Here is a 25716-nt window from a genome sequence, read left to right on the forward strand (position 1 = left end):
AAGAGATGGAAGAGAAGATGGCAGAGTGGGAAGCAGATGCTGGAGCAATGAGGCTGCGAGCCAAGGGACTTGGAGCCCTGGGACACTTGGAGCCCCCAGGAGCTGGAAAAGGCAGGAAAGATCTTCCCTGGAGCCTTCAGAGGCAGTGCAGCCCTGCCTACACCTTGATTCCAGACATCTGCTCTTCCAGACTATGAGAAAGTAAATTTAAGTCAATTAGTGTGCAGTAATTTGTGAGGGCAACCTAGAAATACAAGATGCTACTGAACTAAGGAATCCCCGGCTGCTACTGGAGGGAGAGGTGGTGGGCCTGGGCCAGGGCTGCGGGGACAAAGGGAGGGAGTGGGTTGTGAAAGTGCCTGGTCCCCAGTCCCTCCTCCTGCCAGCACTGCCCACTGGTCAAACCCACCCAGAAGCTGGAGAGCAAGGGACCCTCAGAGATAGGGTCTGTAGGATCAGGCTTTCAAGGACAAATGGGAGAGGGGCTGGGGAAGGGACACATGGGGACCAGACCCCTACTGGGCATTTCTGCCAAGGAGAGGATCCTGGTGAGGAAGAAAGCAGAAAGCTATGTGTTCACAGATGCACGGATGCTCCCCTCCCAGAGACCCGTGGCCGTGGGTGCAGAGGGAGTCAGTCCTTCTTGGAGGTACTGGGAAAGGAGCCTACAGCTCCACTGAGCCCTTCTGCCTACAGGAGGGGCCCCACTCAGCAGCTGTTCCCTGAGGGAGACCTGTCCACGCGTGAGCTCCTTCCCACAGTCCCATCCAGTCCCCCAGGGGAAGGGGCAAGACGGTCAGGTCAGGACCCACACGCATGCTGGTGCTTTCAGAACCTGATGACTTAGTTGGTTAAGAGAGCTCACACCTGCAATCCCAGCACTTTGGGAGGCTGAGGCAGGTGGATCAGTTGAGGTCAGGAGTTCAAGACCAGCCTGGCCAACATGGTGAAGCCCCGTCTCTACTAACAATACAAAAATTAGCCGAGTGTGGTGGTGCACACCTGTAATCCTAGCTACTTGGGAGGCTGAGACAGGAGAATCACTTCAATCAGGGAGGCAGAGATTGCTTGAGCTGAGACTGTGCCACTGCACTCCAGCCTGGGTGACAGAGCGAGACTCCCTCTCAAAAAAAAAAAAAAAAAAAAAAAAGAGCAGGGCCAATGTGCTGCTGTGCCTTGGGGAACGGTGTCCTGGGAGCGGACCTGGCTGGCAGTGACCTGGGGCTGTGCACTGGAGGGGGCTGGACAGTGCACTTGGAGGTGGGTGAGCCTGGGCCCCAAGACGGTCTGGGGACATGGGCTTGGCCAGAGCAGGAAATGAGGGTGGCCAAGGACAGGTGCTGAGCCACCGAGTCGGCACAGAGGGGTGGGCATGAGGGCTTCCTGGGAGCAGGGCCCTTCCAAGTCCCTGAGGTCAGCCCAGGGACACCCTGGCCTCTGGGAGATTCATGGTGGGGCTGTGCATGGGCTGGGTGGGGTCAGCAGGCAGCCAGTCACTGAGGGGCTTTCAGCGCCCATTTTCCTGATGAGCACCTCCAGTCCTGGAAGCCACAAGCCAGGCACGCAGCCCACCCGGCCGGCCCTCCCGGCCAGCTCACTGGCTCCCATGGGCCCCGGACCTCCTTGGGCTTTGCCTGAAGGTGGGAGCAGATGGCCTTTTCCTTGTGAGGGTGGACACAGAAGCCAACAGTCATGTGGGGTGAGGGGACCCAGGCACCTCCAGCGTCCCCCGCAGGGCAGCACCTTCCCCTCCTGGGAACCCACCCCTCTTCAGCTGGACTCTGAGCCCACCCCGTGGAGCCCAGAACCTCGGGCCAGCTCAGGCTCTGCCACCAGCTCTCTGTCATCCTCCCTCAGAGCCGGGCTGTGCTCCCCAAGCCAGGGGTATCCAGCCCCCGCTCTTCATCCTAGGCCGGGCAGGCAGCCAGCCCCAGGCCTGTGTCCTCCTTGGGGGGCGGGGGGTAGGGACCCCTCGCGCGGGGCTCTCAGGCGGCTTAGCTGCGTGCGGCCCCAGGTCAGTCAACGCAGCCTCTGCACCTCGCCGGTCAGGTACGCAGGCCGCGCCGGGCTGCCCCAGACCTGCGGCGCACACGGGAGGCTCAGCCTGGAATGCCGTCCTGCCCTCCTCCACCTGAGGAATTGCCGCTCACACCACAGGGTTCAGCTCCGCGGCATCTCGGCGAAGCCTCCTGACATCCCGACCCCCGCCGAGACCTCCCCTCTGAGCTCCTGAGCACAGCCCCAGGGGACCCGAGCTGCGCGCTATGCAAACACAGGCCTGCCCTCGCCCTCGGTGCGCCCCGTGCCCGCCGCCCCCTGGGCCGCCCCGCGGTGCGACTAGGGGCCTAGCCCGCCTGCCCCGGCTCCCACGCCCTCGAGACCGCCGGGCGCCCCCGCCCGGCCACGCCCCCTCGGATGCCCCGCTCCGCCCCGAGGGGGCGTGCCCTGCGCCCCCGCGAGCCGGGCGGGGACCGGGCGGGAGCGGGGCGGGGCCGGGGCGGGGCGCGGACCGTCCCCCACTGGCTGCGGCGCGCGGGGCAGCCCAGGCTCAGTGCGCGGTGGCGGCGGCGTCGCGGGCAGCTGGCGCCGCGCGGTCCTGCTCTGCCGGTCGCACGGACGCACCGGCGGGCCGCCGGCCGGAGGGACGGGGCGGGAGCTGGGCCCGCGGACAGCGAGCCGGAGCGGGAGCCGCGCGTAGCGAGCCGGGCTCCGGCGCTCGCCAGGTCCGTGCTTGGGGCCGGGCAGGCTCGCGGAGGGGTCCAACGGTGCTCGCGGAGGGGTCGGGGCGCGGCTGTCGCGGAACCACAGAGGTCCCTGCAGCGGGCCGGGCCGGGGCGCGGGCTTCCCGCTCCGGAAAGTTTGCCGCCGCCGCCGCCCTGGGAGGGCTTTGCAGCAGCCAGGGAGGGAAGGGGGAGGAGGGAGGGACCGCGGCGGGGAGGAGGCGGCCGGCGCCAGGCGGCCCGGGAGCCCTGGGCGGCGGCGGCGGCGGGCGGGGCGGCTGGGGGTCGGAGGGGTCGGGACGCAGGAGCCGGCCACCGCCGCTTTCGTCCCTGTCCGCCCCTCTAACGAGCTGCCTTCCTCCTCCTGTAGTCTCCCGAGCGGCGCCCGCCTCCCGCCGGTGCCCGCGCCGGGCCGTGGGGGGCAGCATGCCCGCGCGCGCTGCCTGAGGACGCCGCGGCCCCCGCCCCCGCCATGGGCGCCCCTGCCTGCGCCCTCGCGCTCTGCGTGGCCGTGGCCATCGTGGCCGGCGCCTCCTCGGAGTCCTTGGGGACGGAGCAGCGCGTCGTGGGGCGAGCGGCAGGTAAGAAGGGACCCACTAGGCACGGGAGAGGCCGGCCCGTGCGGGCAGAGGCGTTGGGGACGGGAACCGGCCCCGGGTCGGAGGGGCCGCCGGGTGTGAGTGACGCCCCGGGGTTAGAGCCCGGATTCCGCTGCCTCCTTGCCGGAGAGCGCGGCCAGAGCTAGCGCGGCGACTTGTGGTGCGCCCGGAGCCGCAGCTACCCTCCAAGTGCGAGGCCACCACGGGGAGCCAGGCTGGGGGTTGGCGTCCGCAGCCCCGATCCCCTGCGACTCCCTAGCCCTGGCCTGTCGGGAGGGCGCGGGGGGCCCCATTTCCACGATTCCCGCTGTTGTTATTCGGGTTCTGCGCAGACGGAAAGTTCCCATTGTTGGCGTCCCCCTCCCCCGGGCCCCAGTTTGTGGCCAGCTTCGGCCAAGGCGAGAGACCGGACTTCTAAGGGTGGGTGTGCGCGTCAGCGAAGCCCGGCCCCTGCCCGCCCGAAGAGGCAGCAGCCTCCAGCGTCCCCGCTGCCGACCCTGCCCCTGCCTGGGGGCCGAGGGCGCTTCCCCGTGGGTGCGCGCCGAGCTCCAGGCAAGCGAGGGGCGCGTGTCCCAGCGTCGCGGGCCCTAGACTGGGCTGGCGGTCCAGGTCCCGCGGGACGTCGAGGGTCTGAAGGGAGGTCCCAAGGGGCGAGGGGAGGGGAAGGGGCGCCCGGCCGGACCTGCACACGCGCCGCGGTTCCTCGTGGGCCGGGCCGAGAGCTCCGGTGCCGCCGCCGCGTACACCCGCAGCCGGCTCCGGACGGGCGAGGGGGGCGCGCACAGCTCAGCCCGGCGGCCGCGCGGAGGGAGGCCTTGGCCCGGTGAGCTCGCGCCCCACCCGGGCCGAGGCCCGAACAGCCGCTTCTTTGTACCTCGACGCGGCCACAGACCGCGCATTGATGGCGGCTCGGCGGCTCGCGGGGAGGTGTGAGCGACCGCGGGCGCGGCGGGCCGGGGAGGGCGCCTGGAGGGCCGAGGCAGATGGCGTCCGCCCCGCCCGCGCCCCCGCGCCCCTTTCTCCGTCGGCGGCTGCAGCCTCCCGGAACAATGTCATTTTTTTTATGAATGAAAGTGGCCCGGCGCTTGAATGTGCGTGTCATTCAGCGGCGTGACAGGGGCCGTCGGGAGGTCAGCGCGCGCTTTTAGCGTCTGCTCGGGCGGCCCCGCTTCCAGGGGTGCCGGAGGGGCGGCCGCGGGGGGAGCTTGGCTTTCGCATTCTCATTCAGATAAAGATATTACTCCCTACGGCCCGGGAATGTCAGCCAGCCCCGGGGAAGGGCGGCGGCCAGGCTGCGGAGCCTCTCCTGGACCCCCTGCGGGCGCGCGGGGCCTCCCCCAGTCGCTCCTGGAACGCCCCGCCCACCCCTCCCCCGGGGCGGCGCCCCCGCCCGCACTGGAGCTGGTGAAACAGGTAGTGAGTTGATCGGTCAATAAACTTAATCCGGTTCCTTAACAAGATGGGCCGGGCAGTAAAAATACAAAGACCTCGTGAAATGGACTGAGGTCTAGGCTGGCGCTTGCCCGGGAACATAAATTATGGAGCCTTGGCTCGCAGGGGTCAAGGGCGGTGGGAAAGGTTTTGGCCACTGGACTGCCCTGGCCACCCCAGGCCCTGCCAGGACAGCCCCCATCTCCCCAGGGGGCCGTATTCCTGGTTGGGACCTGGAGTGACCCCCCAGGGTGCAGGGAGGTACACAAGGTCGGCTCTCCCACAGTCCCACCCCACCCAGCAGGGGTCTGGGGGTGCAGGGCCTTTCCCGAAGGTGCTGGCTGCAACCTCCCCCACTCCTCCTCTGCAGGGCTGGACTTTGAGCCGCGTGGGCCTCTGGGTGGTTCATTAACCTGGGCTGAGCCTGGCCTCCAGGTCCTTGTGTGAGCCTAGGAACCCCTTGTTACCCACCCCCCAGCTCCCCAGCCCTCAGGTCTCACTTGGGGCTAGATCTGGGGCTGTGGCACCCCTTGTTACAGCTGAGCTTGAGTGGGAGCCCAGGGGCTTGGGGTCTCCTGGAGGACGGGGATCTAAAGTCACCTCATCTAGGGAGGCATGCAGCCCTCACCTGAGTGATTCAGGAGTGAATGAGCCAGGAGTGGAGCCACCTTTGGTGGGGTAGGGGTCAGCCTGGACCTCTAGGCTGCCAGCTCAGGCTCGGGTGCCCTCTTCGAACCTCAGTTTCCTTACCTGTCCAAGAGAACCGATAATGGCAGGCTGTTTGAAGGATTAGGCCAGATAACCCTGGCAAGCCCTCTTTAGCCTGCCCAGCCTCCAGATCCCTTTTTTCCGGACTTTATTGTGAAACTCCAGGTGGGGAGACAGGGAGGCTGGACTTTTGGGGGCCCCCTCCTCTTAGGCTATTTTATAGCTCCTACCTGGCAATACCTCCTGTACCCCAGAGAGCTGCAGAGAACTTCATGTGCATCCGAAACCAGAATGTGTTGTTTCCTGACCCCAGGCCCTCATCTCACCCCAAAACCCAAATAAACCCCTGGGGCAGCCAGCTCCGGAAGCGAGTCTGGATTTGATCCTTGTTCTCTGGGGTCAACCCGAGGGGCTTATGATGGAGCAAGGCTCCCCCATCCTCTCAGCCATGCTCCCTCACATGCACTGGGCCTCCACTGCAGAGACCCAGAGCCTGGAGAAAGGTTCCCCAGGCCAGAGTTTGGCCGTCCCCAGCACCCTGCCTAATGGACATCAGTCTTGGGGCCAGAGACCCAGGGCAGGGAGCGCCTCTCACCCCTACCCTCACTCCTGCAGCCATTTCAGGGCCTGGTGCCCTCCCTGAGCTCCTGGGCCTGTGGGGTGGGATTTTTACTTTGTGCCACAGTGGGGGAAACTGAGGTACAGGACCAGTGAGTGGCAGAGTTGTGGAGACTCTGGGACACAGCAGAGGGCTGTCGTTGGCATGTGGAGCCCAAGTTGAGGTCGGCACTGTGTGGGGTTGGGGCGCCGGCAGGAGCACGTGTTGTGGGATCCATAGAAGGGTGGGAGGTGGGACGCGTTGCCTCCTACCCCGCCTTGGGTACAGCAGGAGTTTTGTCTCCAACGTGTTTGGGCACCAGTGTCTGTGTGGTGTCAGTGGGGCCTCCCTTTTGTGGATCAAGAAAGAAAGAACCCTTCCTAGGGCTGCTGGGGGGCTATAGCTCTCCCCATGCCTGGCAGCTGGGTGGGGTATGGGGGCTCCACCCAACTGCTGACTTCCCAGTGGGAGTCAGACCCTGAACTTATAGCACCCACTCATGCCCCGTGTCACACTGTCCTTCACCTGGTGCTCGCCACCCAGCCCCTGCTGGGGTACCCTGGCCTCTGCTGGCACCTAGCAGGCAGGCAGTGGGGGGGGCAGTCAGGGCTGCACCCTCCCCACCACACACGGGCAGATGGCCACTGGTGTGGCTGGCCTGGGGCTGCTGTGTCCCCCGTCCCCCCGTGCTGGACCAGGCTGAAGCAAATACTTGTGTGGATGGCTTGACCTGTTGTCGCCACTCAGACCAAACCGGAACCAACCGGCTGTTGCCCTTGGGCCAGGGCCTGCAGCTGAGGCTGCCATAACCAGCCTGTTCTCGGCCTTCTGGGGGGCCTCGAGCAGCTCCCAGCTCTGGGTGGTCCCCACAAGACACTGGCCAGGACCGGAGGGCTGGAGGTCAGGCCAGGAGCCCCCCTGACTGCGGGGTCCCTACAGGGGCAGTCCTTGAGCTGTGGGTCCCGGTGGGGCGAGGGCTCCTTCGGATGCTTCAGGGGATGAGTGTGGGCCCTTCTGGCTGGCAGGGTCACCCTGGGCACTAGGCGTGTGTGGCTGGATCAGGTGGGTTGGGCAGAAGAGGGCCTGGCCGGGCAGCCAGGGACTGGTGTGGCCAGAGTGGGCAGCTGGGCCCCCGAATCTAGGCCACGCGTCTGCAGAATGACAAGTGATGGCGCAACCCGCCCAGCTGGGTCTGAAGAAGGAGGCTGCCTGGGGGACCACCCACCCCCGTCCCGGCCCCAAGCCCGGGACGCCTGCCTGCATGCATTGTCTGGCCCTGGCAGGGAAGCCTAGGGGCGATTGTCCCCCCAGCCCTGCCCATGGTGTGTCCTTGGGTCACAGGCTTTGGTGGCTCTGGGGAGCTGGGCAGCTACTGGGGAGGGACCCAGGGGCCACCTGCACATCTGCCCCTGTGGGTGGGCCCCCACCCCAGCTTCTCAGCCCCCAGGGAGGGGCCAGGGCTGCTGACCTGCCCTGGCTCTCACAGCTTCCTGCCCCCAGCCTGGTCGTCCTCTGTGAGGGGGCCCCAGTCCCCCTGCAGGCAGCAGGACTCCACCCCCCGGCCCCCTTGAGGGCCCGCCTGGGCCTCCCCACTCCCCGGCCTGTGAGACCCACTTGGCCGGACCCAGCGCCGTGTTTGTACTTTGCTCTTCTCGGTATGTTTTCCGTCATGACCGCCGTGTGGAGCTTCCATAGGAGCTGCAGGATACAGAACCTTGCCCACCCCAAGGAGCCCCCACCCCCGCCCCGGCCCCCTCGCGCTGCTCCGGCCTGTGCTCTGACCGGTGAACCCGCGCATCGCCCCCCAGACCGTCCACACGGCCACGTGACCCTGCACCTCCTTCCTTCTCGCCTGTTCTGTTCCCTGGCTGTCCATCTGAACTGCTTTTCAGGCTCATATGGGGTGCGGGGGCTACTGAGGACGGACCCCTCCTGGGGTGAATCTGCACCACGAGGGGGCTGGCTGGCCAACCCTGGCACCCCCTCTGAGCTCCATTTCAGTCAGAGGCCAGCAAAGGGCAGCCTGTCCCCTTTGCCCGCAGCACCTGCCCGTCGTGGTGCCGCCTGTGAGACAAGCATGGATTTTATGTTTCCAAGCAATTGAACAAATTAAAAGAACGAAGAGTCACATTTTGTGACACTTTGAGATTTGAATTCTCCGTGTCCATGAGTGAAGCATCATGGGGCCACTGCTGTGGGGTTGGCTGCAGGTTGTGTGGGGAAGGCGGCTGTCACACCGAGGCAGACCGGAGTCCTTGGGACAGACTGGTTGGCAAAGCTGAAGATAGAGACCTTTGGCCCTTTTGGGACACAGTTTCCAGCCCCTGGTCTGGTGGGACCCTGGATCTGGGTCAGAGCCTTCCTCACTCAGGGCCGCCGAGGCTTCCACTGCTGTGTCTGTAAACGGTGCCGGGTTTGGGGGTGCCTGCCTCATGGTTGCCCATCTTCCCCACAGAAGTCCCGGGCCCAGAGCCCGGCCAGCAGGAGCAGTTGGTCTTCGGCAGCGGGGATGCTGTGGAGCTGAGCTGTCCCCCGCCCGGGGGTGGTCCCATGGGGCCCACTGTCTGGGTCAAGGATGGCACAGGGCTGGTGCCCTCGGAGCGTGTCCTGGTGGGGCCCCAGCGGCTGCAGGTGCTGAATGCCTCCCACGAGGACTCCGGGGCCTACAGCTGCCGGCAGCGGCTCACGCAGCGCGTACTGTGCCACTTCAGTGTGCGGGTGACAGGTGAGCTCTGGGGCCACGCCAGCTACAGAAAGGAGCCGAGTGCCGGGCTCCCTGAGTCCCTGCGTGGGTCAGGAGCGGCTGGGGGTCTCTCTGGTCATTGGTGGAGAGGAGGGCACCCCCAGGAAGTGCTGCCCAAATGGGGGACCCTGCCCCATCTGGGAGGGGCACCTGGGGGCCTCCTGGGGCAGGTTGGGCATTGGTTGCGGCCATCTCTGCCTTGCAGACGCTCCATCCTCGGGAGATGACGAAGACGGGGAGGACGAGGCTGAGGACACAGGTGTGGACACAGGTAGGAGCAGGGTCCAGGGTTCAGGCCAGCCGGGGTGGGGCCCGCTGCCACCGCCAAGCCCTGCCCTTCACAGGCAGCTGAGGGACTAAGGCCCCGGAACAACCTCCCTGGGGTCACCCCGAAGGTCTGGTCCCCTCAGGATACAGGAGGGGCTGGGTCACTGACATGGCTCTAGATGCCCCACCCTGGTGGCAGGGCTGGGGTGCAAGGGGACACCGTGTTGCTGATGGGGAGACTGAGGCACAGGGCCCTGGGGGTTCCAGGAGCAGGAGGAGGCCAGGGCTGGCCTGTGGGGCTCTGGTGTTGGCTATAGGTGAGGTGGACCCCGCAGACATTAGCGCAGCAGGGCAGGGCACTCAGGTGGCTGCCGTGGGGTGGATGGACCCGGGGTGAGGGCGCCGGGGCACCTGCCACAACCAGTGGCGGGCAGGGTGGCTGGCAGGAGGGTGGCTGGTGGGTGGGCTGCGGCTGTGAGAGAGCAGTCGGGGACGATGCCTGGCGTCCCGGCCTGGAACGGTGGCAGGTGGACTTTGCCAAGTTGTAGGGTGGGGAGGTGGGGCTTCTGGTTTTGGAGGGAGCTCTGAGGGGAGTGCGTGCAGGTGAGGGTCATCGTGGCACAGACATGGGGGGCAGTTACGACTTGCGGACTGATGGTGTGTGCGCTGGGTCCCTGGGCCAGTGGGGTAAGCAGGTGAGGAAGGGAGGCTGAGTCCATGAGAGAAACAGCTGGGGGAACTCACCCTGGGGGTCTCCAGGAGGCCTGGGAGGGAGCTCAGCACCGTGGGGTGCCTCTTTCCAGCCTGTGTCCACACTGCTGCTTGCTGGGCCTCAGTGCCCCTGATGGGCGTGTGCCTGGAGGGGGCTGGCAGTGAGCTCACTGAGGGGAGGGCTGCTTCCCTCCTGGGGAATGCCAGCCCATCCTTGCCTGGAGTCCCGGCAGGAAGGCAGCACCAGCCCTGAGGAAGGAGAAAAACCAGTTGGGCTGTGAGAGGGGTGGTGGGAGCCCTGGACATCGAGATGGGAGGAGGCAGGGCCTCCAGGGTGCCACCGTCTCTGGGTGCCCGCCAGACTTGGAGCTCTGCAGAGGGTGGTGTAGGGTCTTGATTTCCGTGGGCCCATGCTGCCCAGCTGCCTCCAAGGCTCCTGGCTCTGCAGGCGACTGGGCTCCTCTCCTGGTAAACTGCTCCCAGGTCCTGGCTTGTCCACTAGATGGGCCTGCCCCCTGGGTCTTCAGTCTCCCCGTTGGTGGGCCTGGCCCTGGCACGCCTCTCTGGGCAGGTGGGCTCCCCTGGACAATGCCCTGTGCCCTGTGACTTCACAGGTCCGGGCAGAGCACCCTGGAGGGGAGGGGAGGGGACACACGGCCCAGCTCTGAGAAAGCCCCGGGGAGGGGACAAGATGTGGAGGCTCCTGGGAACCTCATCCCGCCCTCTTCCTACACAGGACGGGAAACTGAGGCTGGGGATGGGCAGGGGCAGCTCTGGGAAGGGGGTTGTTCAGAGGGGCCTCTGCTCCCACTCGGGTCATGGCCTTCACACGCACCTCGGCCCGCAGGGGCCCCTTACTGGACACGGCCCGAGCGGATGGACAAGAAGCTGCTGGCCGTGCCGGCCGCCAACACCGTCCGCTTCCGCTGCCCAGCCGCTGGCAACCCCACTCCCTCCATCTCCTGGCTGAAGAACGGCAGGGAGTTCCGCGGCGAGCACCGCATTGGAGGCATCAAGGTGGGCGCGGCGGGGTGGCTCTGGGCCTGGCAGGCGCGGTGGTTGCTGCCTCCGCTCACTCACCCGCCCGCGTCCCGGTGCAGCTGCGGCATCAGCAGTGGAGCCTGGTCATGGAAAGCGTGGTGCCCTCGGACCGCGGCAACTACACCTGCGTCGTGGAGAACAAGTTTGGCAGCATCCGGCAGACGTACACGCTGGACGTGCTGGGTGAGGGCCCTGGGGCGGCGCGGGGGTGGGGGCGGCAGTGGCGGTGGTGGTGAGGGAGGGGGTGGCCCCTGAGCGTCATCTGCCCCCACAGAGCGCTCCCCGCACCGGCCCATCCTGCAGGCGGGGCTGCCGGCCAACCAGACGGCGGTGCTGGGCAGCGACGTGGAGTTCCACTGCAAGGTGTACAGTGACGCACAGCCCCACATCCAGTGGCTCAAGCACGTGGAGGTGAATGGCAGCAAGGTGGGCCCGGACGGCACACCCTACGTTACCGTGCTCAAGGTGGGCCACCGTGTGCACGTGGGTGCCGCCGCTGGGGCTCCTGGGCTGGCCCCAAGGGTGCCCCTTGGCTGCGGGTTGCGTGAGGATTTGGGTCTAGGGGTTGGAGCTTCGGGGGCAGAAGCTGTGGGGGTGCTTGTGGGGCCAAGTCTCAGCCACCCCACACCTCAGGGCCATAGGCAGCTGCGTTGGGACCCGTTTCCGTGTCTGCAGAGGGCCAGCCTCAGCCACTGAAGTCCCTGACATGGAGCTGCCCACGGGCTTCTTGGGGGTGGGTGCGGCTTGGGCAGCAGTGGTGCCCCAGGACAGGAGGGCAGTGTGGCCAAGCCCTCCAGGCCCCCTCTGGGCCTCAGAGGCGGTGGCTGAGCCCCGACCTGGCCGATTGGCTCTCGTCAGCTGTGTGCAGTGGGGCCCGAGCTCACTGTCTGCCCGCCTCCTGAAGCCCTTAGCTTTGTTCCCATGGCTGCCGGGTGGGGGCCACTGAATTGGGACGGTTGCGACACTCAAAGCCCAAAGAGAAACATCTGTTCAGAGAGAAGACGGTCTCTTGGGGGCGGGGAGCAGGCGCAGGGCGAGGGTGGAGTCCAGACCCCGCCCAGAGAGGCCGCCTCGGGCCCTGTCCAGGGTGCAGGTTCTGCAAGAGCCCGGGGGAGGGCAGGCCAGTGACCAGAGGTTGTCTGAGGGTCTGGGCTGGGTTGTTGGGGTGGAGGCAGAGACGTGCATCCTGTGAAACCACAGCCACCGTGAAGTGCCTCCACGCCTCCTCCAGGCAGCCTTTGGGGCTGACGCAGCCCAGCCTCGATCTGTACCTTGGGGGTCTCCCACATCCTGCCTCGTGCCCGGCGGGGCTGCCTCGGGGGCGTGCCTGAGCCGGGTCTCTTGTCCCCGCAGTCCTGGATCAGTGAGAGTGTGGAGGCCGACGTGCGCCTCCGCCTGGCCAATGTGTCGGAGCGGGACGGGGGCGAGTACCTCTGTCGAGCCACCAATTTCATAGGCGTGGCCGAGAAGGCCTTTTGGCTGAGCGTTCACGGGCCCCGAGCAGGTAACGACTCTGTCCCATGCCGGCCGGCACAAGAGCTCCAGCTCCAAGGCCCTGGCCGCGCGCCCTGCACGCCCCGCACGCCCAGCCCTGCTCGCTCCCGCCCCGGCTCGCGCTCCACTCGGGGCCGCCTCGGCAAGGCTGGCAGCTCCAGCCTCCACGGTGACCGCCCGCTTCGAGCCCTGTGGCCTGCGCCGACCCTTCCCGCACGCCTGCGACCCCCACAGGAGGTGCCCGGTGCCCACCGGGCCGGCTCCGTGCCGTCTGTGAGCACCCCTTTGCGCCTCTCTCCACCCCTGCCCGCTGCCTGCTCGCTTCCGCAGCCTGTGTGTCCCTGTGTCCATCCTCCACCTGCACCCGCCCGGCTCTGCGCTAACCCGCATGCTGCCTGCCCGCCTGCCGCTCACCTGGGACAGAGGACTCGCCGGTGGAGGGGCCTGGCTTCGGGCTCAGTACCGGTGTACCAGGCGGAGGGCCCTCAGCCGCGTGGCGGTGACCAAGTTGGCGGTGGCTGAGGAGTTGGTGGTGGCGGCGTTTTCCTTGCAGCGGCTGGATCCTGCCGTGTGGACTCTGTGCGGTGCCCGCAGGGCGGTGCTGGCGCTCGCCTATCGCTCTGCTCTCTCTTTGTAGACGGCGGGCGCTAACACCACCGACAAGGAGCTAGAGGTTCTCTCCTTGCACAACGTCACCTTTGAGGACGCCGGGGAGTACACCTGCCTGGCGGGCAATTCTATTGGGTTTTCTCATCACTCTGCGTGGCTGGTGGTGCTGCCAGGTACCGGCTTCTGCTGCTGCTGCTGCTCCGCACTGTCTGGGGGACGCTGGCTCGGGACACGCCAAAGCTGCCAGGACGGACGGGAATCCTGTGACTTACGGCCGTCCCGCTTCTTGAGCCCTCACTCCTGGCCCTGTGCCCAGTGTGGGGACAAAGTTGGCCTGGCCCGGTCCTGGTCCCAGAGGGGCCCCCTCAGCCCCCTCGAGCCCACTTCCCATCTGGGTCCCCAAAGGCCTCTCCTGTGGCTCTGGTGTCTCCCGGGCGCCTGGTGGCGGTGTGGGACTGGCTGGCTCTGCTGGGCTCCTTCTCTCCAGGGTCTGGCCCTCTAGACTCACTGGCGTTACTGACTGCGAGACCCTCCAGACAAGGCGCGTGCTGAGGTTCTGAGCCCCCTTCCGCTCCCAGTGGTGCCTGCGGCTCTGGGCCAGGGGCATCCATGGGAGCCCCGTGGGGGGGGGGGCCAGGCCAGGCCTCAACGCCCATGTCTTTGCAGCCGAGGAGGAGCTGGTGGAGGCTGACGAGGCGGGCAGTGTGTATGCAGGCATCCTCAGCTACGGGGTGGGCTTCTTCCTGTTCATCCTGGTGGTGGCGGCTGTGACGCTCTGCCGCCTGCGCAGCCCCCCCAAGAAAGGCCTGGGCTCCCCCACCGTGCACAAGATCTCCCGCTTCCCGCTCAAGCGACAGGTAACAGAAAGTAGATACCAGGTTCTGAGCTGCCTGCCCGCCAGGCCTCCTGGAGCCCCACCTCGGCCCACGCTGGTCCTGGGCTGTGTGAGCCCTCTCTGCAGCCAGGCGGGCTCCCCTCTCCTCGTCTCTGCTCACCATGTAGAGCCTAGGGTACTTTGGGGCACGAAACATTCTAAAAATCTTCATTCAATGCTGGTGGAAGTCAGAACGCCCCCCCTTCTGGCCCAGCACTGACCCCCGGCTGTACCTCCACGCCCTGTCGCCCACGCGGCGCCAACCTGCCCCTGCTGACCCAAGCAGGTGTCCCTGGAGTCCAACGCGTCCATGAGCTCCAACACACCACTGGTGCGCATCGCAAGGCTGTCCTCAGGGGAGGGCCCCACGCTGGCCAATGTCTCCGAGCTCGAGCTGCCTGCCGACCCCAAATGGGAGCTGTCTCGGGCCCGGTCAGTGGTGCTGAGGGCCAGCGTTGGCTGTAGGGGGCTTGGTGGTGGGGGTGAAACAGCCACCAGTCAGAGGCCCGGCTGGGTTTAGGGGCCGTCAGGGATGTGGCGGATGTTGGGTGTGGCTGGGGTTCTGTGGAGATGCTCCTGGGACGGGTGTATGGCAGGGACTGCCCCTCTCAAGGTGCCCTGTCTGGAGGGGCAGCAAGGGCGGGAGGCTGTGGGTGACACTCTTCGTCCTTACGAGCAGGCTGTAGGGGGAGCATGGAGGGCTTCCTGGAGGTGGTGGCTCTGGGCCTCAAGGGCTGGGCCAGGCTGGGGTGGGGACCGTGGTGGGCTGAGAGTGGGCGAGTTTGCACACTCATGGTCCCTCTGCCTCCACTGCCAGGCTGACCCTGGGCAAGCCCCTTGGGGAGGGCTGCTTCGGCCAGGTGGTCATGGCGGAGGCCATCGGCATTGACAAGGACCGGGCCGCCAAGCCTGTCACCGTAGCCGTGAAGATGCTGAAAGGTGAGGAGGGGGCGGCCAGGGGTGCAGAGCAGGGCTGGGGGCGCCGCCGCCGCCTGACACAGGCCCCCCGCTCCGTGCACAGACGATGCCACTGACAAGGACCTGTCGGACCTGGTGTCTGAGATGGAGATGATGAAGATGATCGGGAAACACAAAAACATCATCAACCTGCTGGGCGCCTGCACGCAGGGCGGTAGGTGCGGTAGCGGCGGTGGTGCCGGCTGGGCGGCCCTCCTGGGCCTGGCAGCCCGTCTGAGGAGCCCGTGTCCCCAGGGCCCCTGTACGTGCTGGTGGAGTACGCGGCCAAGGGTAACCTGCGGGAGTTTCTGCGGGCGCGGCGGCCCCCGGGCCTGGACTACTCCTTCGACACCTGCAAGCCGCCCGAGGAGCAGCTCACCTTCAAGGACCTGGTGTCCTGTGCCTACCAGGTGGCCCGGGGCATGGAGTACTTGGCCTCCCAGAAGGTGGGCAGGGCGGCAGGTGTGGGTGGAGTAGGCTGGGCCCTGCCCTGAGATGCTGGGAGCAGCGGGGAGAGGTGGAGAGGCTTCAGCCCTGCCTCCCACCCCTTCCCCAGTGCATCCACAGGGACCTGGCTGCCCGCAATGTGCTGGTGACCGAGGACAACGTGATGAAGATCGCAGACTTCGGGCTGGCCCGGGACGTGCACAACCTCGACTACTACAAGAAGACGACCAACGTGAGCCCGGCCCTGGGGTGCGGGGGTGGGGGTCATGCCAGTAGGACGCCTGGCGCCAACACCGCCTTCCCACACCCTCCCAGGGCCGGCTGCCCGTGAAGTGGATGGCGCCTGAGGCCTTGTTTGACCGAGTCTACACTCACCAGAGTGACGTGTACGTGTCCTGCAGAGCTCAGGCTTCAGGGGTGGAGGCGGGAACTGGGCAGAGCCAGGACCCCAGCTGCAGTCCCCAGGCCTGTGCCCTGGAGCTCCTGGGTGTGGTTTCTACCCCTCCCTGGGGGCAGCAGCGCAGCCCTGGCCTATTCCCCTGGTGCCCGCCCAGGTGTCTGTCCTGGGAGTCTCAGGACAGCCTGACCTCACCTTCCCCTGCAGCTGGTCCTTTGGGGTCCTGCTCTGGGAGATCTTCACGCTGGGGGGCTCCCCGTACCCCGGCATCCCTGTGGAGGAGCTCTTCAAGCTGCTGAAGGAGGGCCACCGCATGGACAAGCCCGCCAACTGCACACACGACCTGTGAGTGGCATCCCTGGCCCTCCACTGGGTCCTCAGGGGTGGGGGTCCCTCCGGGGCTGGGCGGGGGAGGGACTGGCAGCCCTTCAGGCTGTTCCCGAATAAGGCGGGAAGCGGCGGGGCTCACTCCTGAGCGCCCTGCCCGCAGGTACATGATCATGCGGGAGTGCTGGCATGCCGCGCCCTCCCAGAGGCCCACCTTCAAGCAGCTGGTGGAGGACCTGGACCGTGTCCTTACCGTGACGTCCACCGACGTGAGTGCTGGCTCTGGCCTGGTGCCACCCGCCTATGCCCCTCCCCCTGCCGTCCCCGGCCATCCTGCCCCCCAGAGTGCTGAGGTGTGGGGCGGGCCTTCTGGGGCACAGCCTGGGCACAGAGGTGGCTGTGCGAAGAGGGGCTCGGTGGCACAGCGCTCACCCCGCCTCCCGCCAGCAGGAGTACCTGGACCTGTCGGCGCCTTTCGAGCAGTACTCCCCGGGTGGCCAGGACACCCCCAGCTCCAGCTCCTCAGGGGACGACTCCGTGTTTGCCCACGACCTGCTGCCCCCGGCCCCACCCAGCAGTGGGGGCTCGCGGACGTGAAGGGCCACTGGTCCCCAACAATGTGAGGGGTCCCTAGCAGCCCACCCTGCTGCTGGTGCACAGCCACTCCCCGGCATGAGACTCAGTGCAGATGGAGAGACAGCTACACAGAGCTTTGGTCTGTGTGTGTGTGTGTGCGTGTGTGTGTGTGTGTGTGCACATCCGCGTGTGCCTGTGTGCGTGCGCATCTTGCCTCCAGGTGCAGAGGTACCCTGGGTGTCCCCGCTGCTGTGCAACGGTCTCCTGACTGGTGCTGCAGCACCGAGGGGCCTTTGTTCTGGGGGGACCCAGTGCAGAATGTAAGTGGGCCCACCCGGTGGGACCCCCGTGGGGCAGGGAGCTGGGCCCGACATGGCTCCGGCCTCTGCCTTTGCACCACGGGACATCACAGGGTGGGCCTCGGCCCCTCCCACACCCAAAGCTGAGCCTGCAGGGAAGCCCCACATGTCCAGCACCTTGTGCCTGGGGTGTTAGTGGCACCGCCTCCCCACCTCCAGGCTTTCCCACTTCCCACCCTGCCCCTCAGAGACTGAAATTACGGGTACCTGAAGATGGGAGCCTTTACCTTTTATGCAAAAGGTTTATTCCGGAAACTAGTGTACATTTCTATAAATAGATGCTGTGTATATGGTATATATACATATATATATATAACATATATGGAAGAGGAAAAGGCTGGTACAACGGAGGCCTGCGACCCTGGGGGCACAGGAGGCAGGCATGGCCCTGGGCGGGGCGTGGGGGGGCGTGGAGGGAGGCCCCAGGGGGTCTCACCCATGCAAGCAGAGGACCAGGGCCTTTTCTGGCACCGCAGTTTTGTTTTAAAACTGGACCTGTATATTTGTAAAGCTATTTATGGGCCCCTGGCACTCTTGTTCCCACACCCCAACACTTCCAGCATTTAGCTGGCCACATGGCGGAGAGTTTTAATTTTTAACTTATTGACAACCGAGAAGGTTTATCCCGCCGATAGAGGGACGGCCAAGAATGTACGTCCAGCCTGCCCCGGAGCTGGAGGATCCCCTCCAAGCCTAAAAGGTTGTTAATAGTTGGAGGTGATTCCAGTGAAGATATTTTATTTCCTTTGTCCTTTTTCAGGAGAATTAGATTTCTATAGGATTTTTCTTTAGGAGATTTATTTTTTGGACTTCAAAGCAAGCTGGTATTTTCATACAAATTCTTCTAATTGCTGTGTGTCCCAGGCAGGGAGACGGTTTCCAGGGAGGGGCCGGCCCTGTGTGCAGGTTCCGATGTTATTAGATGTTACAAGTTTATATATATCTATATATATAATTTATTGAGTTTTTACAAGATGTATTTGTTGTAGACTTAACACTTCTTACGCAATGCTTCTAGAGTTTTATAGCCTGGACTGCTACCTTTCAAAGCTTGGAGGGAAGCCGTGAATTCAGTTGGTTCGTTCTGTACTGTTACTGGGCCCTGAGTCTGGGCAGCTGTCCCTTGCTTGCCTGCAGGGCCATGGCTCAGGGTGGTCTCTTCTTGGGGCCCAGTGCATGGTGGCCAGAGGTGTCACCCAAACCGGCAGGTGCGATTTTGTTAACCCAGCGACGAACTTTCCGAAAAATAAAGACACCTGGTTGCTAACCTGGCCCTGTGCTTTCTGTCTCCAGTTCTGGGATAGGGGAGGGAGGGGTCACTTTGCCAGGTGGTCCCAGTTGCGCGGGATGGATGCTGGCAGCAGCACCGAAAGTCACTGGTGGGCTGGGAGCCCCAAGAGCAAGGAATGTTTATGGGAGGGGCCTGGCGGAAGGGAGCAGGGTGCCTGGGGGTGCACTGCCCTGGCTGCTCCCAGCTTGTGGGTTCCTGAGGTGGTGGTGGTGGTGGGGAGGGTCCTTTCTCACTAGCTCTGAGGCAGACCTTCTCTCATCACCCCACTCCTGGCATCCGCCTTCCCAGTCAGCTGGGGAGCTTTCTGGGCATCCCTCTATGGAGCCAAAAGCAAGCAAAGCCCTCATGGGGCCCTGGGGGCTACACAGGCGGTCACTCTCCTCCAGATCAGCTCTCTGCCCTCCCAGGCCGGGCAACCAGTGCCCCCACTGCCTTGGGCTCCATCAGGGTCCCCTACAGTGATAAAGCACCTTTGGGCAGATGAGGTGCTGAGAACCCAGAGATGGAACCAGGCCCTTGCCCAAGTTCATAGCCCTAGCAGGGTGGGAGGACAACATGGTGAGAGCAAGTCTGGGAAGGCTTCCTGGAGGAGGTGTGCCGTCTCTCCTGACTCCCCACCACCCTCTTTGCTGTCCTCCCTTCTGCTATCCTCCCTCTCTTGTCCTCCCGTTTTTCCCATCTCTGCTGTCCCCACCTCTGTCGTCCTCCTCCTGCTCTCCTCCCCCCATCCCCTCTGCTCTCCCTACCTCTGCTGTCCCCTCTGCCGTCCTCCCTCTGCTCTCCTCCCCTCTGCTGGCTCAAGAGCAGGGTTTCCCAACCATGAGCTGCATGAACTCTAGCTTCTAAAATGCTCTGGCTACAAACTCACCTTTCAGGTCAGGGGGTACTGCTGGCCCGTTTCCTGGGCAGGCAAGGGTTTAACTCAACCCCATTCAGGGAAGCACGTGTGGGCGCAGGCCTGGTGGAAGTGGCCTTACAAGGGACTCTGCATCCCTAATGCCCCCACTTGCCCAGAAACCCTATGCTGGGCCCCAGAGGCAGGCCTGGCCATGGGACGCCTGGTGACAGTGGCAGGATGGGGAGGCCCACATGGGCCTGAAGGCTGAGGCCTGCAGGGCAGTGGGGGGACCAGGCCAACAGGCAGGCAGTGCCAGCATCCACACCAAGGCAGGCAGAGCATGGGGCTCGAAGCGCGGGCCGGGAGCGCCCCCTAGCGCTGGCTGGGCAGTGTCCCTGCTACAAACCCAAGGCCCCTCTCCTGTCAGGGCTCTGGTGGACCTCTGGTGGGCACAGTGGGATCCTGAATGGGTGCTGGGGACCAAAGGGCTGGGCCACCGGGAGAACAGTGGCCCATGAAGGTGCTGGTGGGCCAGCCCCCTCCTCCTCAGCGTGCTTCCTTAGCGACCCCAGATGGCAGGGCACAGTCCCTGAAGCTGCCCCACCAGGGGCTCCCTGGCTGCCTCCCCCTGTCCCATAAGGTGAGCCCATGAGAGACCCCAGCTGTCAGCACAACTGAACCTCCGCCATCAGGGTGCCCTCTAGTGGTTGGGTGTGCTCTAGGCTGGCAGGGTCCCCGCCCTTGCTGTCTGCTGATGGCTGAGGGGGACATGTCTCATGGGAGGCCCAGCTTCCAGGACACAACTGGTGGCTCCTGGGGTCACCAAGGGCACCTGGTTTGTTCACAGCTCTTTGGGCTGCTGTCCCCATGAGGGAGCACCTCCCACCCCAGCTGTGGGTCCATCATTTCCTCTGATTAATTAGGGCCTAGGGGTCAAGGGAGGCCCCGAGGGAGGACTCTCAGTGTGAACAAACCAGCAGCCAGGGCCGCAGAGAAGCCTGTGAGGTGCCCACAGGGCCTGGTCCCAGTGTGGGCAGAGCACCTAAGGGATGGCTTCTGTCCACTGAGAAGGGTCGGGAGCCAAGACACCACACTGCTATCCTGGCGCTGGAACCATCCACGCACTCCTGCAGCCAGGCCACGCTGAGGCAGGTAGGCACCCAGAGGTCCGGGCTGGGGGCTGCTCTCCATGGCCCCAGGCCATCACACATCCCTCAGGGCGTCTGGGCCCTGCCTGTGGGCTGGACTGCAGGCTGAAGGCCCTGCCTCATCCAGGACTCCCTAGGGCAGTACTCGGTGCTCTTTCCCCTCAGCGGCCTGAGGAGTCTTTCAGAAGAGCTGGCCCTCCTGGGTGACACCTCGGCGAGGGTCCCAGCCCCTAACCCCAGGACTCCCAAGAAGTCACTGAGGTCCCCAGAGCAGGGAGAGCATGACCAGGTGGCAGGGCCACTGGCCTGGAGAACGTCCCACACTGTTCCATGAGCAGCTCACGCTGTCACAGGACCTGGGGACGTGGGTCTCCTGACCCTGCAGGCCCATCCTGCAGAGCAGGAAGCGTGAAGCCAAGGGCTGAACCCATGGAGGGCGGCCCAGCACTCAAACCCCCAGGGATGGTGAGGCTCCTTCTGGAACTGGCCTCACAGCCACACGCGCCCCAAGGCCCAGCCCCTGCAGCCACGTGGACAGCTCTGCCGGCTTCCACTCGCTCCTGTGTGCCCAACGGTTCAGAAATATTATTACTCTGCACTGTTACAGGAACACAGATTTGATGTTTTAATAAAAATACGATTTCTACAAAAGGTGCTTAACACGGCCCAGGACGGGCTGTCCGGTGGAGTCAGCCGTAGGACCCCTGAAGGATTTACAAAGACAGAGCCGGCTCACCAGCACACTCCTGCCAGCACCGGGACCCACTGCGAACAAAGACAGAGCCGGCTCCCCAGCACGCTCCTGCTAGCCCTGGGACCCACTGTGAGCCACTGCGGGGTGTCCTTCATTTAAAAAAAGTCTGGACTGTGACACTGCAGAAGGAGTCTGAAAGCCCAATTCCTGAATCCCTGCGTTAGAACTGAGAGTTCAGGCCGGGCGCGGTGGCTCATGCCTGTAATCCCAGCACTTTGGGAGGCTGAGGCGGGTGGATCACCTGAGGTCAGGAGTTGAAGACCAGCCTGACCAACATGATGAAACCCCATCTCTAATAAAAACTTGCCCGTAATCCCAGCACTTTGGGAGGCCGAGGTGAGTAGATCACGAAGTCAGGAGATCGAGACCATCCTGGCTAACACGGTAAAACACTGTCTCTAATAAAAATACAAAAAAATTAGCCAGGTGTGGTGGCGGGTGCTTGTAGTCCTGGCTACTCGGGAGGCTGAGGCAGGAGAATGGCGTGAACCCAGGAAGCGGAGCTGGCAGTGAGCCGAGATCACGCCATTGCACTCCAGCCTGGGAGACAGAGCAAGACTCTGTCTCAAAAAAAAAAAAAAAAATTAGCTGGGCATGGTGGCGCATGCCTGTAATCCCAATTACTCAGGAGGCTGAGGCAGAAGAATCGCTTGAACCCGGGAGGTGGAGCTTGCAGTGAGCCGAGATCGCACCACTGCACTCCAGCCTGGGTGACAGAGCGAGACTCTGTATCAAAAAAAAAAAAAAAAAAAAAAAAAAGTGAGTGCTTAGCTGGAGTGAGGAGGAAACACTGAATTCCTAAATCAGGAATTCGTTTCATTTTCACCAGGCGCAGATATCCTAGCTCCTGAAAAAGGCCAAGACCGAGGGTCTGGCCCTGGGCAGGTGTAAGAAAGGACTGTTTTAAGAAGCTTATTACACAAAGCTCATATTTCTGGATCCACCACTGCTTACATTTGCACCCAGACACCACTTTTAGGTGCAAGAAGAAAGGTCAGGACATAGAGAAAAATGCACACAGAACGATGAGGGAGAATGACGAGGGAGAATGACGAGGGAGCAAGCCTGCATCAGAGCACGGCTGATGTCACGGAAGCCACCAAAGGCACCCACCAGAGCCTTCCCCACCTGCAAAGCCCCTGCAGCACCCGGAGGGCAAGCTGGCTTTTGGAGGCCATGCGGAGTCCAGGGCAGAGGGGACAGTGGGATGGGCTGCCTGTTGCAGTGGCTGTTCACGTCAACAGTGCTCAGCCAAGGCAGTGAGGACGAGGATGAGAGCCGGGGCAGCTGACTGGGCCCGCGATGCCGCTCACAGGAGAGGCGTCTGCACACACCTGGCAACTGCAAGACTTGTTCTCAAGGGTAAGTACACTTGGACAAACGAACACCAGGCTACTTACACAGGGTGAGAGAATTCATAAATATTAGTTAAGGATCTAAAACAAACTTCTCAAATAACTGAAAGCTGAAAGCCTCTGGAAGCCAACTGTCCCTGCACAAAGGTTTACAATTGAGAAATATCTCCTGTTCCTATTTTGTCAAGTTTCTTTAATGGCTGAACAGAAAGAAGCTTCAAGTAATGGAGAAGGCATTGTCTGAGTGCAGCTGCTTTCCTGGACGCCTGTGCCGTTCCTGTCTTCCAAATCCTATGCTTGGAGGCCCCTGGAGGTACATTTTTGCCAGGAACCAACCTGACCTTAAAAAGATGAGTGTGACACAGCCGGCTGGGCAGGAGGATGGAGGTGCCACAGGACACCACCTGCCCACGCCCTGGCCAGCCTGGCCATGCTGCCGAGTGCGGGGAGGCCACCCCACCCAGAGGGCACAGGGCAAACCCTAAGCACGGGGGTATTGCCCTTGAAGCCCCAGGGGATGCCCTGTGCCGGATCCTCATGCCTCATTGACTAGCCTGCTTGCTGAAGGAGCCCAGGGGCCTGAGCCTGCAACACTGCAAGGGGTGAGAAGGGCATGCTGCTGTGGGCGCACTGGACTCAAACCTCACATTAGAAGCTACAAAGAACCCCAAATGCGCTTCAGAGCCCCACCAACCCCCAAGCCAGGCTCATCCCTGACACAGTGAATCCACTGCAGCCCCCGTGGGAAACTCTGTGCCAATTGACTGCTTAAAGAACTGGGGGAAATAGAAAGCCGAGAAAGAGCTCCGATACACAAGGGAAACCGCACGTGAGAACCAGCACTCCCAGCAGGGAGACGTCACTCTCCAGAGGCCACAGAGATGGCAGACACCTCTGTCTCCACAATGACCCACATCCAACTGAAAGTGTGCAGGAAGACAGGTCTATTGACACTGAAATCTAGAAATCAAGGTCCACAGGCGAATGGAGGCATCTTCAGCCCTGAGGAGGCCAGGCTGTGTCTCCTGACGCCCCTGAGGGTGGGCACAGCAGCCAGCTCTGTGTGGGCGGAGTCCACGTGGTCCTCATTCTCTTCCCTGGGGACAGGGCAGCACAGTCAGATGCTGAGACTGAGGCCACACACATGGGGGCGCCTTCCTGCCTTGGCCCAGCCCAGCTGCCTCTGGAGCCAGGAGGCCGTGGCAGCCACACCACAGTGTGGATCCAGACACGATTCTGTGGAGGGGTTCCGGGATTCCAGACAGACTGAATCTCCGTGGAATGATGAAAATTAAAATTTACTTGATTATGGAAGTCTCTGATTTATTCCAGCCAAAATATTAGATGAGCCACTGAGAATCACCACAAAGCAATCGCCCTCACGGCCCTTGCCAGGGTGACGGCACAGCAGGAGGACAGGTGCCCAGGCCAGTGGTTCTAGCTCTTCACCTCTGCGACCTCCTTCTCTGCCTTCTCTTTGGCCTTCTCCTTCTCCTCCACCTTCTCCTCTTTTTCCAGTGTTGCTACAATCTCAGCCACCTGGCTGGTGGAGATGTGAACATCTTCTTTGTCCACCAGCTCAATCACCTACACACGTGGGAAAGGGAGAGGCTCAGGTGGCTGCGCCCTACAGCACAGTGAGGCAGAGGCGGGGCCAGCGCCGTCAGTCGCCCCAGCTGGGGTGGCAGCAGCATGCACGCAATCACTGCCTGCGGGCCCCAGGGTCCTCAGAGCACCAATTCCCCCAAGGGGTGCCACAGACCCTGGGGAAGGGGCTCAGAGTGGGAGGACAAAGGAGCCAGGGGGCTGCCTTGACAGGTGGCAGACAGCACAATGGGGCTGCCAGGGTCAAGTTCCTGCTCTGGCCAGGAACCTGGGCCATGGCTTCCCAGGGCAGAGTGGGGTGACATGCAGGGACCTTGTCCCCACTCTGCCACCCAGACTAGCAGGGAAGGGAAGGGCAGCTGTGCAGTAGATACATGATCCTTGCTTCCAAACTGAACTGCAAGAAACCAGCCAACACTTCTGTTAGACGTCTGGAAAATCACTAACCTGATGCATGCACCGGGAGCCACGAGGCAGCTTCCCCTCAGAGATGTCAGTGATTGGGAAAATTGGTGTGCGCACTCAGGCTAGAGCCCTGCCTTCCCTCCAGAGACTGGATCCTGGGCCAGGGTCTCCGGGGCTACCCTGGAACCTGAGTGGCTGCACTTGGGAGCTCAGCCCAGCAGTCACCTCTCAGCCTTGGGGCGGTGCCCAAGCTGCCCCGCGGCTCCCCTGTGTAGTTGCCTCTCAGCTTTGGGGGCCCCCGGCAGGTGTGAAGTGCCCCCAGGCTCCCTGTGCAGTCGCCCCTCAGCGTCGGGGGCCCCTGAGAGGTGTTTGCTGCACCCCCCCGGCTCCCCAGTGCCACCAGCTGGGGGCGGGGTCCAGGGACATGCGTAGCCACTAGGTGCGTTTTCTCTCTCAACACTTGAGTTGTAACTTCAATAATTTCTCACTTCTGATGTTTCAAATGAGAGCAGCGGCTTAAAGGAGCAGTCGCAGTGACAGACCCAAACCCCTGACAGGAGGGGGTAGCTGCCCAGGAGGGTGCCGGACATGCAATGAACAGTCCCCCTGCCCCACCCCACTCCAGAGCAGGTGGCGGATGGCCTGCGTGGTCCCCAGCGAGGCCCACCTTGACGAGGTCGTCGATGTTGACCTTGCCATCCTTGTTTTCATCCAGTGCTGCGGCCAGGCTGGTGAGCTTGCTTTCGGGAATGTGCTTGACTTGCTTCATGGCGTTGATGAGCTCAGCGACACTGATGACGTTCTCCCTGTGGAAGCACAGCCTGCATGTGGCCACGGGCAGGCGTCCTGCCACACAGGGCCTCACTGCCCACACCTGTGGCTGCAAGTGGTCAGCACTGACACAGGCGGCTCCGCGTGAGCCAGGCAACCTCCAGCACGGACCCCCAAGGTATGATCCCATCCTGCATACAATGCCAAGAGCTCCCAGGGCCAGCGTGGACACAAACACAGAAACACCACCAGGTCCAGGGTTTCCACGGGCATGTCTGCCCCTCAGTGGCTGCCCCTCTGGGGCCATGGCTGCTGGGCTGTTGTCCTCAGGCCTGTGGCCACTTGGCAATACGTTCACGATCATGGGGGCTGTGGTGCCCTGGGCAGATGAGGGCCTCCAAGAGCAGGGACGAGAGCATGAGCAGGGTGCCACGTGCAGCCCACCTACAACACTGTGGGTGTGGAGGTGGAGATTTGGAACCTGCAGGGCACCAGCAGTCACCCAACAGCTGTTTCATTCGCCCAGAAGGGACTCACAAAACGGCAGCTCCCTCAGCCACTGCTGCGCAGGAATCTGGGACATGTCGGGCACAGAGAAGGCCGACTGCCCGAGCTGGTGTCATTACTGAGCGTGGGTGGGGTCAGGAAGAGGGAGAGGCAAGAGAGAGCCTGGTAATTAGAGGAAACAGAA

The 25716-nt window shown here is 63.6% G+C and overlaps 2 protein-coding genes across 21 annotated transcripts in view, besides 3 other annotated features; one reads left to right on the forward strand and one right to left on the reverse strand.

Annotated features, from left to right (window-relative positions):
- Positions 2369-2608: a silencer, noted in NCBI's record as "silent region_15144". NCBI's record gives its function as "represses an Ori minimal core promoter by ATAC-STARR-seq in GM12878 lymphoblastoid cells {active_cell/tissue: GM12878}" and the evidence as "EXISTENCE:reporter gene assay evidence [ECO:0000049][PMID:35858748]".
- On the forward strand, positions 2551-18125 carry FGFR3 (fibroblast growth factor receptor 3). 18 transcript variants are annotated; one of them, NR_148971.2, is made up of 19 exons: positions 2551-2723; positions 3091-3301; positions 8512-8781; positions 9005-9070; positions 10625-10794; positions 10878-11001; positions 11093-11283; positions 12172-12322; positions 12950-13094; positions 13588-13778; positions 14082-14227; positions 14613-14734; positions 14817-14927; positions 15008-15198; positions 15309-15431; positions 15515-15585; positions 15804-15941; positions 16087-16192; positions 16374-18125. NR_148971.2 is itself a non-coding variant. In XM_006713868.2 (18 exons), the coding sequence occupies exons 2-18, from the start codon at positions 3193-3195 to the stop codon at positions 16518-16520; spliced, it is 2436 nt and encodes an 811-aa protein (XP_006713931.1). In that variant the 5' UTR covers positions 2551-2723; positions 3091-3192; the 3' UTR covers positions 16521-18125. The 18 variants fall into 18 exon arrangements, 17 of the variants coding, with proteins under 17 accessions (XP_006713931.1, XP_006713932.1, XP_006713933.1 ...); XM_006713868.2 differs by lacking the exon at positions 12950-13094 and having other exon boundaries at positions 13588-13784; positions 16371-18125; XM_006713869.2 differs by lacking the exon at positions 12950-13094 and having other exon boundaries at positions 13588-13784.
- Positions 2659-2808: a silencer, noted in NCBI's record as "silent region_15145". NCBI's record gives its function as "represses an Ori minimal core promoter by ATAC-STARR-seq in GM12878 lymphoblastoid cells {active_cell/tissue: GM12878}" and the evidence as "EXISTENCE:reporter gene assay evidence [ECO:0000049][PMID:35858748]".
- Positions 4517-5045: an enhancer, noted in NCBI's record as "H3K4me1 hESC enhancer chr4:1796986-1797514 (GRCh37/hg19 assembly coordinates)". NCBI's record gives its function as "activates a minimal SCP1, AML or CMV promoter by ChIP-STARR-seq in naive H9 embryonic stem cells {active_cell/tissue: H9 hESC(naive)}" and the evidence as "EXISTENCE:reporter gene assay evidence [ECO:0000049][PMID:30033119]".
- Positions 20737-25716, reverse strand: part of LETM1 (leucine zipper and EF-hand containing transmembrane protein 1) — a 44678-nt gene continuing 39698 nt past the window's right edge. For all 3 annotated transcript variants that reach the window (XM_006713884.2, NM_012318.3, XM_047415673.1), the window contains 2 exons: positions 24922-25060; positions 20737-23831 (listed from right to left, as the gene is read on the reverse strand). In XM_006713884.2, the coding sequence (XP_006713947.1) occupies positions 23682-23831; positions 24922-25060 (289 nt within the window). In that variant the 3' untranslated portion in view covers positions 20737-23681. The remainder of the gene's footprint in view (positions 23832-24921; positions 25061-25716) is intronic.

The sequence above is a fragment of the Homo sapiens genome, chromosome 4 (genome assembly GCF_000001405.40).
Source record: "Homo sapiens chromosome 4, GRCh38.p14 Primary Assembly".
In the NCBI taxonomy this organism is placed as follows: Eukaryota; Metazoa; Chordata; class Mammalia; order Primates; family Hominidae; genus Homo; species Homo sapiens.